Here is a 13,359-nt window from a genome sequence, read left to right on the forward strand (position 1 = left end):
ACTCGGGAGGCTGAGGCAGGAGAATCGCTTGACCCGGGAGGGGGAGGTTGCAGTGAGCCAAGATCGCGCCACTGCACTCCAGCCTGGGTGACAGAGCGAGACTCTGTCTCGGGGGAAAAAAAAAAGTCTGAAATTCTGTGGAGGGTGCAGAGGAATTGTAACCCATACAGCCCCTGAATCTAGTTGAGAATTTACAAATCAAAGTGAAATAATTAGAAAAAAATTCAAAGGATGTCAATGTGCTTTCAGAACGGTAAAAATTTAAAAAATATTCCTTTTGTTTTTTTGAGACAGGGTCTCACTCTGTTGCCCAGACTGGAGTGCAATGGCGCGATCTCAATTCATCACAACCTCCACCTCCCAGGATCAAGCAATTCTCCTGCCTCAGTCTCCAGAGTAGCTGGATTACAGGCACGCGCCACTACTGCCGGCTAAGTTTTGGATTTTTAGTAGAGACAGGGTTTCACTATGTTGGCCAGGCTGGTCTCAAACTCCTGACCTTACGAAATCCTCCTGCCTCGGCCCTCCCAAAGTGCTGGGATTACAGGCGTGAGCCCCCATGCCCGGCCTGAAATCTATTTTTTAATGCTGGGTGTTCTAAAGGTCCCTACAGTCAAAAAAGACAGAGGAGAATTGTTAAAGATTTGATGGAGATGGATGGATGTGAGGATTTCATAAAGGTAAATGGAGAGGAAGGAAAAAGGTAATCCCAAGTGGTAGAACTACTAGAAAGAGTTAAGAAAGAAGCCGGGCACCGTGACTCATACCTGTAATCCTAGCACGTTGGGAGGCAGCGGCGAGAGGATTGGTTAAACTCATGAGTTTAAGACTAGCCTGGGCAACATACTGAGACCCTCATCTCTACAAATAATAAAAATATTAACCAGGCATAGTGGTACATGCCTGTAGTCCCAGCTACTCGGGAGGCTGAGGTGGGAGGATCATGATGGCACCACTGCACTCCAGCCTGGGTGACAGAGCGAGGCTGGTTTCATAGAAAAAAAGTGGGGGTTTTGGTTTGTTTTTTGTTTTTTGAGGCAGAGTCTCACTCTGTTGCCAGGCTGGAGTGCAGTGTCACAATCTCGGCTCACTGCAACCTCTGCCTCCAGGATTCAAGCGATTCTCCTGCCTCAGCCTCCTGAGTAGCTGGGGTTACAGGCATGTGCCACCACACCCGGCTAATTTTGTATTTTTCGTAGAGATGGCGTTTCTCCATGTTTGTCAGGCTGGTCTCGAACTACTGAGCTCAAGTAATCTGCCTACCTCAGCCTCGCAAATTGCTGGGATTTCAGGCGTGAGCCACCGTGCCAGGCCAAAAAAGGTTTAGATATAGAAACTAACATGGCATGCTCTGAAAATAGGCACCATATCAATCTGGCTGTGCTAGAAAGTCCAACATCATCATTATCATCTTCATCATCATCATCGTCATGGTAGTGAAGTCCTTTCACCTGTGTAAGGTTCACTACGTGCCAGACATTGCTCTAAGCCCTGGTGAAATCCTACTATGGTCTGTAGTTTCATTAAGAGTATTGTGGCCGGGCGCGGTGGTTCACGCCTGTAATCCCAGCACTTTGGGAGGCCGAGGCTGGCGGATCACAAGGTCAGGAGATCGAGACCATCCTGGCTAACACGGTGAAACCCTGTCTCTACTAAAAATACAAAAAAATTAGCCGGGCATGGTGGCACGCACCTGTGCTTCGAGCTACTTGAGAGGCTAAGGAAGGAGAATCGCTTGAACCCAGGAGGTAGAGGTTGTAGTGAGCTGAGATAGTCACTGCACTCCAGCCTGGGCAAAAGAGCAAGACTCCGTCTCAAAAAAGAAAAAAAGAGTATTGTACCAATGTCAATTTCCTGGTTTGATTGTCGCTCTATGGTTGTATAAGAAGTTCTGGGGGGTGGCCGGGCGCGGTGGTTCACGCCTGTAATCCCAGCACTTTGGGAGGCTGAGGAGGGTGGATCACGAGGTCAGGAGATCGAGACCATCCTGGCTAACACGGTGAAACCCCATCTCTACTAAAAATACAAAAAAATTAGCCGGGCATGGTGGCAGGCGCCTGTAGTCCCAGCTACTCGGGAGGCTGAGGCAGGAGAATGGTGTGAACCCGGTAGGCAGAGGTTGCAGTAAGCCAAGATCGGGCCACTGCACTCCAGCCTGGGTGACAGAGCAAGACTCCGTCTCCAAAAAAAAAAAAAAAAACAAGTTCTGGGGGGTGGGCAGGGGGCAGGTGTGGTGGCTCACGCCTGTAATCCCAGCACTTTGGGAGGCTGAGGCAGGTGGATCATTTGAGGTCAGGAATTCGAGACCAGCCTAGCCAACATGGTGAAAACCTGTCTCTACTAAAATACAAAAATTAGTGGGGCATGGTGGCACATGCCTGTAATCCTAGTTACTTGGGAGGCTGAGGCATAAGAATCGCTTGCACCCGGAGGTGGAGGTTGTAGTGAGCTGAGATCATGCTATTGCACTCCAGCTTGGGTGACCGAGTGAGACTCTCGCTCAAAAATAAAATAAAATAAAAAGTTCTCAAGCTACGTGAAGGGTACACAAGAACTCTCTGTACTATTTTCAAAACAGCATTATTGAGATAAAAGTTGCACTCCATGGCCACCATGCTGGCTCATGCCTGTAATCCCAGCACATTGGGAAGTCGAGGCGGGCGGATCACCTGAGGTCAGGAGTTCGAGACCAGACGAAGCAACATGGTGAAACTCTGTCTCTACTAAAAATACAAAAATTGGCGGGGCATGGTGGTGCATGCCTGTAATCCCAGCTACTTGGGAGGCTGAGATGTAAGAATCGCTTGCATCTGGAGGCAGAGGTTGCAGTGAGCTGAGATCGCGCCATTGCACTCCAGCCTGGGCAACAAGAGCGAAACTCTGCCTCAAAAAAAAAAAAAAAAAAATCGCAATCCATAAAGTTCGCTTGTTTTCATGTGTATAATTCAATGATTGTTAATGAATTTTAGTTTTAATGATTCAAAATTAGTATATTTACAGACTTGTGCAGTTACCACTATTGAGTTCCAGAACATTCCCAGCACCCCCCAAAGAAATCTTTTTTATTTATTTATTTATTTATTTATTTATTTTTTATTGATAATTCTTGGGTGTTTCTCACAGAGGGGGACTTGGCAGGGTCATAGGACAACAGTGGAGGGAAGGTCAGCAGATAAACAAGTGAACAAAGGTCTCTGGTTTTCCTAGGCAGAGGACCCTGCGGCCTTCCGCAGCGTCTGTGTCCCTGGGTACCTGAGATTAGGGAGTGGTGATGACTCTTAACGAGCATGCTGCCTTCAAGCATCTGTTTAACAAAGCACATCTTGCACCGCCCTTAATCCATTCAACCCTGAGTGGACACAGCACACGTTTCAGAGAGCACAGGGTTGGAGGTAAGGTCACAGATCAACAGGATCCCAAGGCAGAAGAATTTTTCTTAGTACAGAACAAAATGAAAAGTCTCCCATGTCTACCTCCTTCTACACAGACAGGGCAACCATCCGATTTCTCAATCTTTTCCCCACCTTTCCTGCCTTTCTATTCCACAAAGCCGCCATTGTCATCCTGGCCCGTTCTCAATGAGCTGTTGGGCACACCTCCCAGACGGGGTGGTGGCCGGGCAGAGGGGCTCCTCACTTCCCAGTAGGGGCGGCCGGGCAGAGGCGCCCCTCACTTCCCGGATGGGGGGGCTGGCCGGGCGGGGGGCTGACCCCCCCACCTCTCTCCCAGATGGGGCGGCTGGCCGGGCAGAGAGGCTCCTCGCTTCCCAGTAGGGGCGGCCGGGCAGAGGCGCCCCTCACCTCCCGGATGGGGCGGCTGGCCGGGCGGGGGGCTGACCCCCCCACCTCCATCCCGGACGGGGCGGCTGGCCGGGCAGAGGGGCTCCTCGCTTCCCAGTAGGGGCGGCCGGGCAGAGGCGCCCCTCACCTCCCGGACGGGGCGGCTGGCCGGGCGGGGGGCTGACCCCCCCACCCATCTCCCTCCCGGACGGGGCGGCTGGCCAGGCGAGGGGCTGACCCCCCCACCTCCCTCCCGGATGGGGCGGCTGGCCGGGCAGAGGGGCTCCTCACTTCCCAGTAGGGGCGGCCGGGCAGAGGCGCCCCTCACCTCCTGGACGGGGCAGCTGGCCGGGCGGGGGACTGACCCCCCCACCTCCCTCCTGGATGGGGCGGCTGGCCGGGCGGGGGGCTGATGCCCCGACCTCCCTCCCGGACGGGGCGGCTGGCCTGGCGGGGGGCTGACCCCCCTACCTCCCTCCCGGATGGGCGGCTGGCCGGGCAGGGGGCTGACCCCCCCACCTCCCTCCCGGATGGGGCGGCTGGTGGGGCGGGGGGCTGACCCCCCCACCTCCCTCCCGGATGGGGCGGCTGCCGGGCGGAGACGCTCCTCACTTCCCAGAGGGGGCGGCTGCCGGGCGGAGGGGCTCCTCACTTCCCAGACGGGGCGGCTGCCAGGCGGAGGGGCTCCTCACTTCTCAGACGGGGCGGCCGGGCAGAGGTGCTCCTCACATCCCAGACGGGGTCGCGGCCGGGCAGAGGCGCTCCTCACATCCCAGATGTGATGGCGGCCGGGCAGAGGTGCTCCTCACTTCCTAGGTGGGATGGCGGCCGGGCGGAGACACTCCTCACTTTCCAGACTGGGCAGCCAGGCAGAGGGGCTCCTCACATCCCAGATGATGGGCGGCCAGGCAGAGATGCTCCTCACTTCCCAGACGGGGTGGCGGCCGGGCAGAGGCTGCAATCTCGGCACTTTGGGAGGCCAAGGCAGGCGGCTGGGAGGTGGAGGTTGTAGCGGGCCGAGATCACGCTACTGCACTCCAGCCTGGGCACCATTGAGCACTGAGTGAAGGAGACTCCATCTGCAATCCCGGCACCTCAGGAGGCCGAGGCTGGTGGATCACGTGCGGTTAGGGGCTGGAGACCGGCCTGGCCAACACAGCGAAACCCCGTCTCCACCAAAACCAGTCAGGCGTGGCGGCGCGAGTCTGCAATCGCAGGCACTCGGCAGGCTGAGTCAGGAGAGTCAGGCAGGGAGGTTGCAGTGAGCCGAGATGGCAGCAGTACAGTCCAGCTTCGGCTCAGCATGAGAGGGAGACTGTGGAAAGAGAGGGAGAGGGAGACCGTGGAAAGAGAGGGAGAGGGAGACCGTGGGGAGAGGGAGAGGGAGAGGAGGGAGAGGGAGAGGGAGAGGGAGAGGGAGAGGGAGAGGGAGAGAGCAAAGAAATCTTCTACACATTCGCTCCCCCATTTCCTCCTACCTCCTATTCCTCAGCCCTAGGCAACTACTTTTCTGTTTTCCATCTCTATAGATTCACCTGTTCTCAACATTTTATATAAATGGTATGATAGAATAATGAATTTTTTTGTGTGTGGTTGTCTGCTTTTACTTGGCATAATGGTTTTGTGGTTGATGTTGTTGTTGTTATTTGTTTTTTAGAAATGAAGGTCTCACTCTGTCATCCAGGCTCAAGTACATTGGTGCTATCATAGCTCACTATAACCTCAAACTCCTGGGCTCAAAGGGTCCTCCCACTTCAGCCTCTAGAATAGCTAAGACTGCAGGTGCATGTCACTAAGCCTGGCCAGCATGATGTTTTATGATGTTTTTGAGGTTCATACTTGTTATATTGTTATGGCATGTATATCGTCTTTGGATAAATATGTATTCAGATCCTTTACCCATTCTTTTTTTTTTTTTTGAGATGGAGTCTCGCCCTGTCGCCCAGGCTGGAGTGCAGTGGTGTGATCCCAGCTCACTGCAAGCTCTGCCTCCAGGGTTCACGCCATTCTTCTGCCTCAGCCTCCCGAGTAGCTGGGACTACAGGCACCCGCCATCATGCCCAGCTAATTTTTTTTTTGTATTTTTAGTAGAGACTGGGTTTCACCGTGTTAGCCAGGATGGTCTCGATCTCCTGACCTCATGATCCACCCGCCTAGGCCTCCCAAAGTGCTGGGATTACAGGCGTGAGCCACCGCGCCCGGCCTTTTTTTTTTTTTTTTTTTTTTTTGAGATGGAGTTTCGCCCTGTCGCCCAGGCTGGAGTTAGTGCATGGAGTGCAATGGCACAATCTCGGCTCACTGCAACCTCTGCCTTCCGGGTTCAAGCGATTCTCCTGCCTCAGTCTCCCAAGCAGCTGGGATTATAGGTTCCTGCCATCACAAGCCCAGCTATTTTTTGTCTTTTTAATAGAAATGGGGTTTCACCATGTTGGCCAGGCTGGTCTTGAACTCCTGACATTGTGATTTGTCCCCCTTGGCCTCCCAAAGTGCTGGAATTACAGATGTGGGCCACGGCGCCTGGACTTTTTTTTTTTTTTTTTTTTTTTTTTGAGATGGAGTCTCGCTCTGTTGCCCAGGCTGGAGTGCAATGGCGCGATCTGGGTTCACTGCAACCTCTGCCTCTGGGGTTCAAGTGCTTCTTCTACCTCAGACTCTGGAGAGTAGCTGGGATCATGCAATTGCAATCCAGCCTGGGCAACAAGAGCGAAACTCCATCTCAGGAAAAAATGAAAAAAAAAAAGAGAGAGAAGCTTGATGAGTTGGACTTTATTCTCCTGCCTCAGCCTCCTGAGTGGCTGGGATTACAGGCGCATGCCACCACACCCGGCCATATCTCATTATTTAATTGACGATTTTCATTTTTTTCTTTTCTCAGTTTGCTCTTTCTGGATCTTCCGTTATTTTGATGTTGGGTCTTTTGGACTGGTCCCACGATTGTCTCATCTTTTCTAATTCTATCCCCATCATTACTCTTCTTTCCGGGAGACTTTCTTCCAACTCCTCCATGAACTTTTCATTTCCATCAAGTGTCACACTTTTCATTTCCAAATACTAAGTACTCTTTCTTAGTTTTTTTTTTTTTAAAAAAAACGGAGTCTTGCTCTGTCGCCCAGGCTGGAGTGCAGTGGCGCAATCTCGGCTCACCACAACCTCCGCCTCTTGGGTTCAAGCGATTCTCCTGCCTCGGCCTCCCGAGTAGCTGGGGGTTACAGGCGCCTGCCACCACGTCCAGCTATTGTTTGTATTTTTAGTAGAGACGGGGTTTCACCATGTTGGCCAGGAGGGTCTTGAACTCCTGACCTCATGATCCACCCGCCTCGGCCTCCTGAAGTGCTGGGATGACAGACGTGAGCCACCGCACCCACCTCTTTTTAGTTCTTCTTTTGTAGGATCATGTTCTTGTTTCATGGCTACAACATACTCTCTTGTCTCTATAAGGAAAATAGCTTTTCTGAAGTTTTATTCTCCAGGCATACTGTTTGCTTTATCCGTGTTTTTCTTTTTCTTCATCTTCTTTTAAAAAAGTTTATTTCATGTTAGGGGCTTCCTTTAAATGTCCATAATTGGCTCTTCAATTAAAATTATAGTAAGTGCTTCCAATGAGAAGTCCAGAGATCTCACCTGATTTTATGAAAAGAGTCATAGAAGTTTTTTTGGGAAAAGAGATGTTGCCGTGGGTCACTCCTGTAATCCCAGCACTTTGGGAGACGAAGGCAGGAGGATCACTTGAGGTCAAGAGTTCAAGACCAGCCTGGGCAACATGACGAAACCTCAACACAAAAAATACAAAAATTTGCCAGGTATGGTGTCTCACGCCTGTAGTCCCCGCTACTCAGGCCTGAGGTGGAAGGATGGCTGGAGCCCAGCAAGTGGAGGCTGCAGTGAGCCAAGATTGTACTGGAGACTACACTCCAGCCTGGGCAACAGAATGAGATCCTGTCTGAATTTGAAAAAAAAAAAGGCCGGGTGCAGTGGCTCATGCCTGTAATCCCAGCACTTTAGGAGGCTGAGGTGGGCAGATCAAAAGGTCAGGAGTTCGAGACCATCCCGGCCAACGTGGTGAAACCCCTGTCTCTACTAAAAACACTAAATTAGCCAGGCGTGGTGGCGGGTGCCTGTAATCCCAGCTACTAGGGAGGCTGAGGCAGTAAATCGCATGAACCCAGGAGGAAGAGGTTGCGGTGAGCTGAGATCACACCACTGCATTCCAGCCTGGTGACAGAGTGAGACTTCGTCTCAAAAAAAAAAGAGGAGATGTTGTAAATAAGCACTGCAAAATGAGAATGTGTAAGACAAAGGGAGTGAGTAGGAGGAGGGAAGCCAGGAAGATGGAAGTGAGGGAGAAGGAAAGCCTACCAGGCGCTGGGCAATGAAATAGGAATAGATTTCTGAATAAGGAAGGAGCATGGTGTATTTAATAAATGAACTAAGGCCACAGAGACTGAAACGGGCTGGGTGTGGTGGCTCACGCCTGTAATCCCAACACATTGGGAGGCCAAGGTGGGCAGATCACTTGAGTCCTGGAGTTGAAGACCAGCCGGGTCCGCATGGCAGAACCCCATCTTTACTAAAAATACAAAGAAAAAAAATCAGCTGGGCGTGTGGTGTGCACTTGTAGTTCCAGCTACCCAGGAGGCTGAGGTGGGAGGATCGCTTGAACCTGAGAGGCAGAGGTTGTAGTGAGCCGAGGTCGCACCACTGCAATTCAGCCTGAGTGACAGAGCACAACCCCGTCTCAAAAAACAAGAGTGGGCCGGACACAGTGGCTCATGCCTGTAATCCCAGCACTTTGGGAGGCAGAGGTGGGCAGATCATCTGAGGTTGGGAGTTCGAGACCAGCCCGGCCAACATGGTGAAACCTGATCTCTACTAAAAATACAAAAATTAGCCAGGTGTGGTGGGAGGTGCCTGTAATCCCAGCTACCCAGGAGGCTGAGGCAGGAGAATTGCTTGAACCCAGGAGGCAGAGGCTGCAGTGAGCTGAGATCACACCACTGCACTCCAACCTGGGCAACAGAGTGAGACTCTGTCTCAAAAAAAAAAAAAAAAAAAGAATGAAATAGGAAGTACCCTGAGTCTGGTGAGTGGACAAGAGGGGAGCCCTTGGAAGGCCACAGACCATGTGATGAGTTATGCTTCTTTCTTAAGAAGTAGGAAGAGCTACTGGGAATGACATGATCAGATTTGCATCGTGACAATCACAGACTGGCTGTTCTGTGGAGAATAGTTACGAGGCCATTATTATTATTATTATTATCATTACTATTATTATTATTATTTTATTTATTTATTTTTTGAGACAGAGTCTCACTCTGTCGCTCAGGCTGGAGTACAGTGGTGCGATCTCTGCTCACTGCAAGCTCCGCCTCCCAGGTTCATGCCATTCTCCTGCCTCAGCCTCCCGAGTAGCTGGGACTACAGGCGCCCGCCACCACGCCCAGCTAATTTTTTGTATTTTTAGTAGAGACATGGTTTCACCGTGTTAGCCAGGATGGTCTCGATCTCTTGACCTCGTGATCCGCCCGCCTTGGCCTCCCAAAGTGCTGGGATTACAGGCATGAGCCACCCTGCCCGGCCAGCCATTATTATGTCGCTTAGACTAGAGATGATGGTGACTCGGACCAGATGGGACAGCGGAGATGGAAAGGATGGATGGGTGGGAAAGCCGTCCTGCAATAACTGGAAGTGTGCATCTGTGGTGGGAGGTGGGTGGCATTGTTCAGGGACGACTCCTCAGTTCCCGATTTGCACAGTGCGTCGATGGCAGGGTCATGCACAGACTGAGTGGACTGGATGCAGGTTTGGAAGGAAAGCGCCTGAGTCGGGTTCTGGAGAACCCTTTGGATGTCAGAATGCAACCATCCCATCCTCTAGATTCATCTGCTCATTCTCAGGCTACAGGTACTTGAATGACCTGTTTCTTCAGTTTCTTTTTCTTTTCCTTTTTTTTTGAGAGACAGGATCTCACTCTGTCACCCAGGTTGGAGTGCAGTGGTGCAATCTTGGCTTACTGCAACCTCTGCCTCCTGGGTTCAAGCGATTCTCCCACCTCAGCCTCCTGAGTAGCTGGGATTACAGGTGCATACCACCACATCTGGCTAATTTTTGTAATTTTAGTAGAGACAGGGTTTCCCCATGTTGACCAGGCTGGTCTTGAACCTCTGACCTCAAGTGATCCGTCTGCCTCGGCCTCCCAAAGTGCTAGGATTATAGGCGTGAGCCAACGCACCCGGCCAAGGATGACCTGTTTCTGTATCTGTCACCCCTGGTTTCCCTCTGCCGAATGACTCCTACTTTCTCAGTTCCTCACTCTCTAACACAGTCCTGAGTGCAGGCTCTCTGATGCCAGGGCTCTGGTTCATTGACTCACTATTACACCTCATAGTTTGTGCTTGGCATGTCGTAGGCCCTTTATAAATATTTGTTATAAAGAGAATAAAGTCAGCTGGGCGAGGTGGCTCACACCTGTAATCCCAGCACTCTGGAAGACCGAGGTGGGCGCATCACCTGAGGTCAGAAGTTCAAGACCAGCCTGGCCATGCTGAAACCCCGTCTCTACTAAAAACACAAAAAATTAGCCGGGCATGGTGGCTGGTGCCTGTAATCCCAACTACTCGGAAGGCTGAGGCAGAAGAATTGCTTGAACCTGGGAGGCGGAGGTTGCCGTGAGCCAAAATAGCGCCATTGCGCTCCAGCCTGGGCAACAAGAGCGAAACTCCGTCTCAAAAAAAAAAAAAAAAAAGAGAATAAAGTCTGGGTGCGGTAGCTCACGCCTGTAATCCCAGCAATTTAGGAGGCCAAGGCGGGCAGATCACTTGAGACCAGTTCAAGACCTGCCTGGCCAATATGGTGAAACCTAGTCTGTACTAAAAATATAAAAAACAGCCGGGCATGGTGGCAGGTGCCTGTAATCCCAGCTACTCGGGAGGCTGAGGCAGGAGAATCGCTTGAACACAGGAGGCAGAGGTTGTAGTGAGCCAAGATCGCACCATTGTGCTCCAGCCTGGGCAACAAGAGCAAAACTCCATCTCAAAAAAACAAACAAAAAAAAGACAGAGAATAAAGAAAAATGAACTGTCCCAGTGATACTTGGAGCCACAGAGTAAATTGGCACATCTTCCTTAAATCATAAAATTGGGCCGGGCGCGGTGGTTCACGCCTGTAATCCCAGCACTTTTGGAGGCCGAGGCGCGCAGATCATGAGGTCAGGAGATCGAGACCATTCTGGTTAACACGGTGAAACCCCGTCTCCACTAAAAATACAAAAAAAGTTAGCCAGGCGTGGGGCCAGGCACGGTGGCTCACGCCTGTAATCCCAGCACTTTGGGAGGCCGAAGCGGGTAGATCACGAGGTCAGGAGATCGAGACCATCCTGGCTAACATGGTGAAACCCCGTCTCTACTAAATGTACAAAAAATTAGCTGGGCGTGGTGGCAGGCGCCTGTAGTCCCAGCTACTCGGGAGGCTGAGACAGGAGAATGGTGTGAATCCGGGAGACGGAGCTTGCAGTGAGCCGAGATCGCACCACTGCCCTCCAGCCTGGGCGACAGAGCGAGACTCCGTCTCAAAAAAAAAAAAAAAGAAAAAAAAATTGACAGTTTCACTTGTCATTTTGTAAAATTTTTTTTAAAAACAAGTATTGTAATTGTATTTGAAATGGTATTTTATTTTATCTTTTTAATTTTTTTTACAGACAGACTCCAGACTCCACTGTTGCCCAGGCTGGAGTGCAGGACACAATCATGACTTACTGTAGCCTCCAACTCCAGGAGGCTGAGTGACCTCCCACCTGAGCCTCCTGAGTAGCTAGGACTGTAGATGTGTACCACTGTGCCTGGCTTTTTTTTTTTTTTTTTTTGAGATGGAGTCTCATTCTGTCTGCCAGACTGGAGTGCAGTGGCACGATCTCGGCTCACTGCAATCTCCGCCTCCTGGGTTCAAGCAATTCTCCTGCCTCAGCCTCCCGAGTAGCTGGGACTACAGGAGCCTGCCATCACGCCCAGCTAATTTTATTTTATTTTATTTTATTTTATTTTATTTTATTTTATTTTATTTTATTTTATTTTTTGTATTTTAGTAGAGACGAGGTTTTACCATGTTGCCCAGGCTGGTCTCAAACTCCTGAGCTCAGGCAGTCCACCCATCTCGGCCTCCCAAAAGTGCTGGGATTATAGGCATGAGCCACCGCACCTGACCACCTGGCTAATATTTTTATTATTTGTAGAGATGGGGCTCTCACTATATTGCCCAGGCTGGTCTCAAATTTCTGGACTCAAGTCATCTTCCCGCCTTGGCCTCCCAAACTGCTGGGATTATAGGCGTGAGCCACCGCAGCCGGACTTATATGAATTTTTAGATTCAACATATTTCAAGGAAATGCTGCTGCAGTGGCCCTAGACTGTTTCCCTCCCCCATCTCCTCCATCTCCCCAGCACCCCACTCCTGTTTGCTGTTGAGGTGGAAATATTTGGATTCCACACAGTCGGGGTTGGGGAAGGAAGGGGAGGAGTTTGAAGAAAACGATGTTTGGACAAGCCGTAAGGAGAGCAAGTGAATAGCTAGGTAGCAGGGCTGGCCTGCGTCAGTGCAGCAGGAATTTGTGGCCCTCCAGTTCTGCAGGCTTCTCTATCCTCTTCTAGCAGTGCCCTGACCTGGGATCTGAGGCAGAGAGAGTTGCCATGCCAGCCTCTCAAGCCCCAGGATTAGCAATGCCAACCGGTGAAGGTTTAGGAGATGAGGGAGTGCTCTTAAGGGCACAGACTGGCAGGCCAGAGTGAGGGGCAAAGCCTCAGCCAAAGAAATTATTTACTATCGGCCGGGCTCAGTGGCTCGAGCCTGTAATCCCAGCACTTTGGGAGGCTAAGTCGGGCGAATCATGAGGTCAGAGGATGGAGACTATCCTGGCTAACATGCTGAAACCCCATCTCCGGCTGGGTGCGGTGGCTCATGCCTGTAATCCTAGCACTTTTGGAGGCCGAGACAGGCAGATCACGAGGTCAGGAGATCGAGACCATCCTGGCTAACACAGTGAAACCCCGTCTCTACTAAAAATACAAAAAATTAGCCGGGTGTGGTGGCTGGCGCCTAGAGTCCCAGATACTCGGGAGGTTGAGGCAGGAGAATGGAACCTGGCAGGCAGAGCCTGCAGTGGGCCAAGATCTCGCCACTGCATTCCAGCCTGGGCTTCAGACTCCATCTCCAAAAAAACAAAAACAAAAACAAAAACAAAAAACAAAGAAACCCCGTCTCTACTAAAAATACAAAAAATTAGCTGGGCATGGTGGCATGTGCCTGTAGTCCCAGCTACTCGGGAGGCTGAGGCAGGAGAATCACTTGAACCCGGGAGGTGGAGGTTGCAGAGAGCCGAGATTATGCCACTGCACTCCAGCCTGGGCAACAGAGTGAGACTCCGTCTCAAAAAAAAAAAAAAGTATATGTTCCACAGTACCAAGCTAAGTGATGTTCATGTCTACAGAGGAAAGCTGAAATGAACCTCTGCCCTCCACAATTACTGCATTCCTGAAAAGTGCAGAAATCAATACTTGACCATAGGAGTCTGCCTTTTTTTTTTGAGACAGAG

General features: G+C 51.1%; 2 annotated features.

Moving 5' to 3' along the window:
* Positions 4,597 to 5,097: an enhancer, noted in NCBI's record as "H3K4me1 hESC enhancer chr17:1593390-1593890 (GRCh37/hg19 assembly coordinates)". NCBI's record gives its function as "activates a minimal SCP1, AML or CMV promoter by ChIP-STARR-seq in naive H9 embryonic stem cells {active_cell/tissue: H9 hESC(naive)}" and the evidence as "EXISTENCE:reporter gene assay evidence [ECO:0000049][PMID:30033119]".
* Positions 5,098 to 5,598: an enhancer, noted in NCBI's record as "H3K4me1 hESC enhancer chr17:1593891-1594391 (GRCh37/hg19 assembly coordinates)". NCBI's record gives its function as "activates a minimal SCP1, AML or CMV promoter by ChIP-STARR-seq in naive H9 embryonic stem cells {active_cell/tissue: H9 hESC(naive)}" and the evidence as "EXISTENCE:reporter gene assay evidence [ECO:0000049][PMID:30033119]".

This window comes from Homo sapiens, chromosome 17, assembly GCF_000001405.40.
Source record: "Homo sapiens chromosome 17, GRCh38.p14 Primary Assembly".
In the NCBI taxonomy this organism is placed as follows: domain Eukaryota; kingdom Metazoa; phylum Chordata; class Mammalia; order Primates; family Hominidae; genus Homo; species Homo sapiens.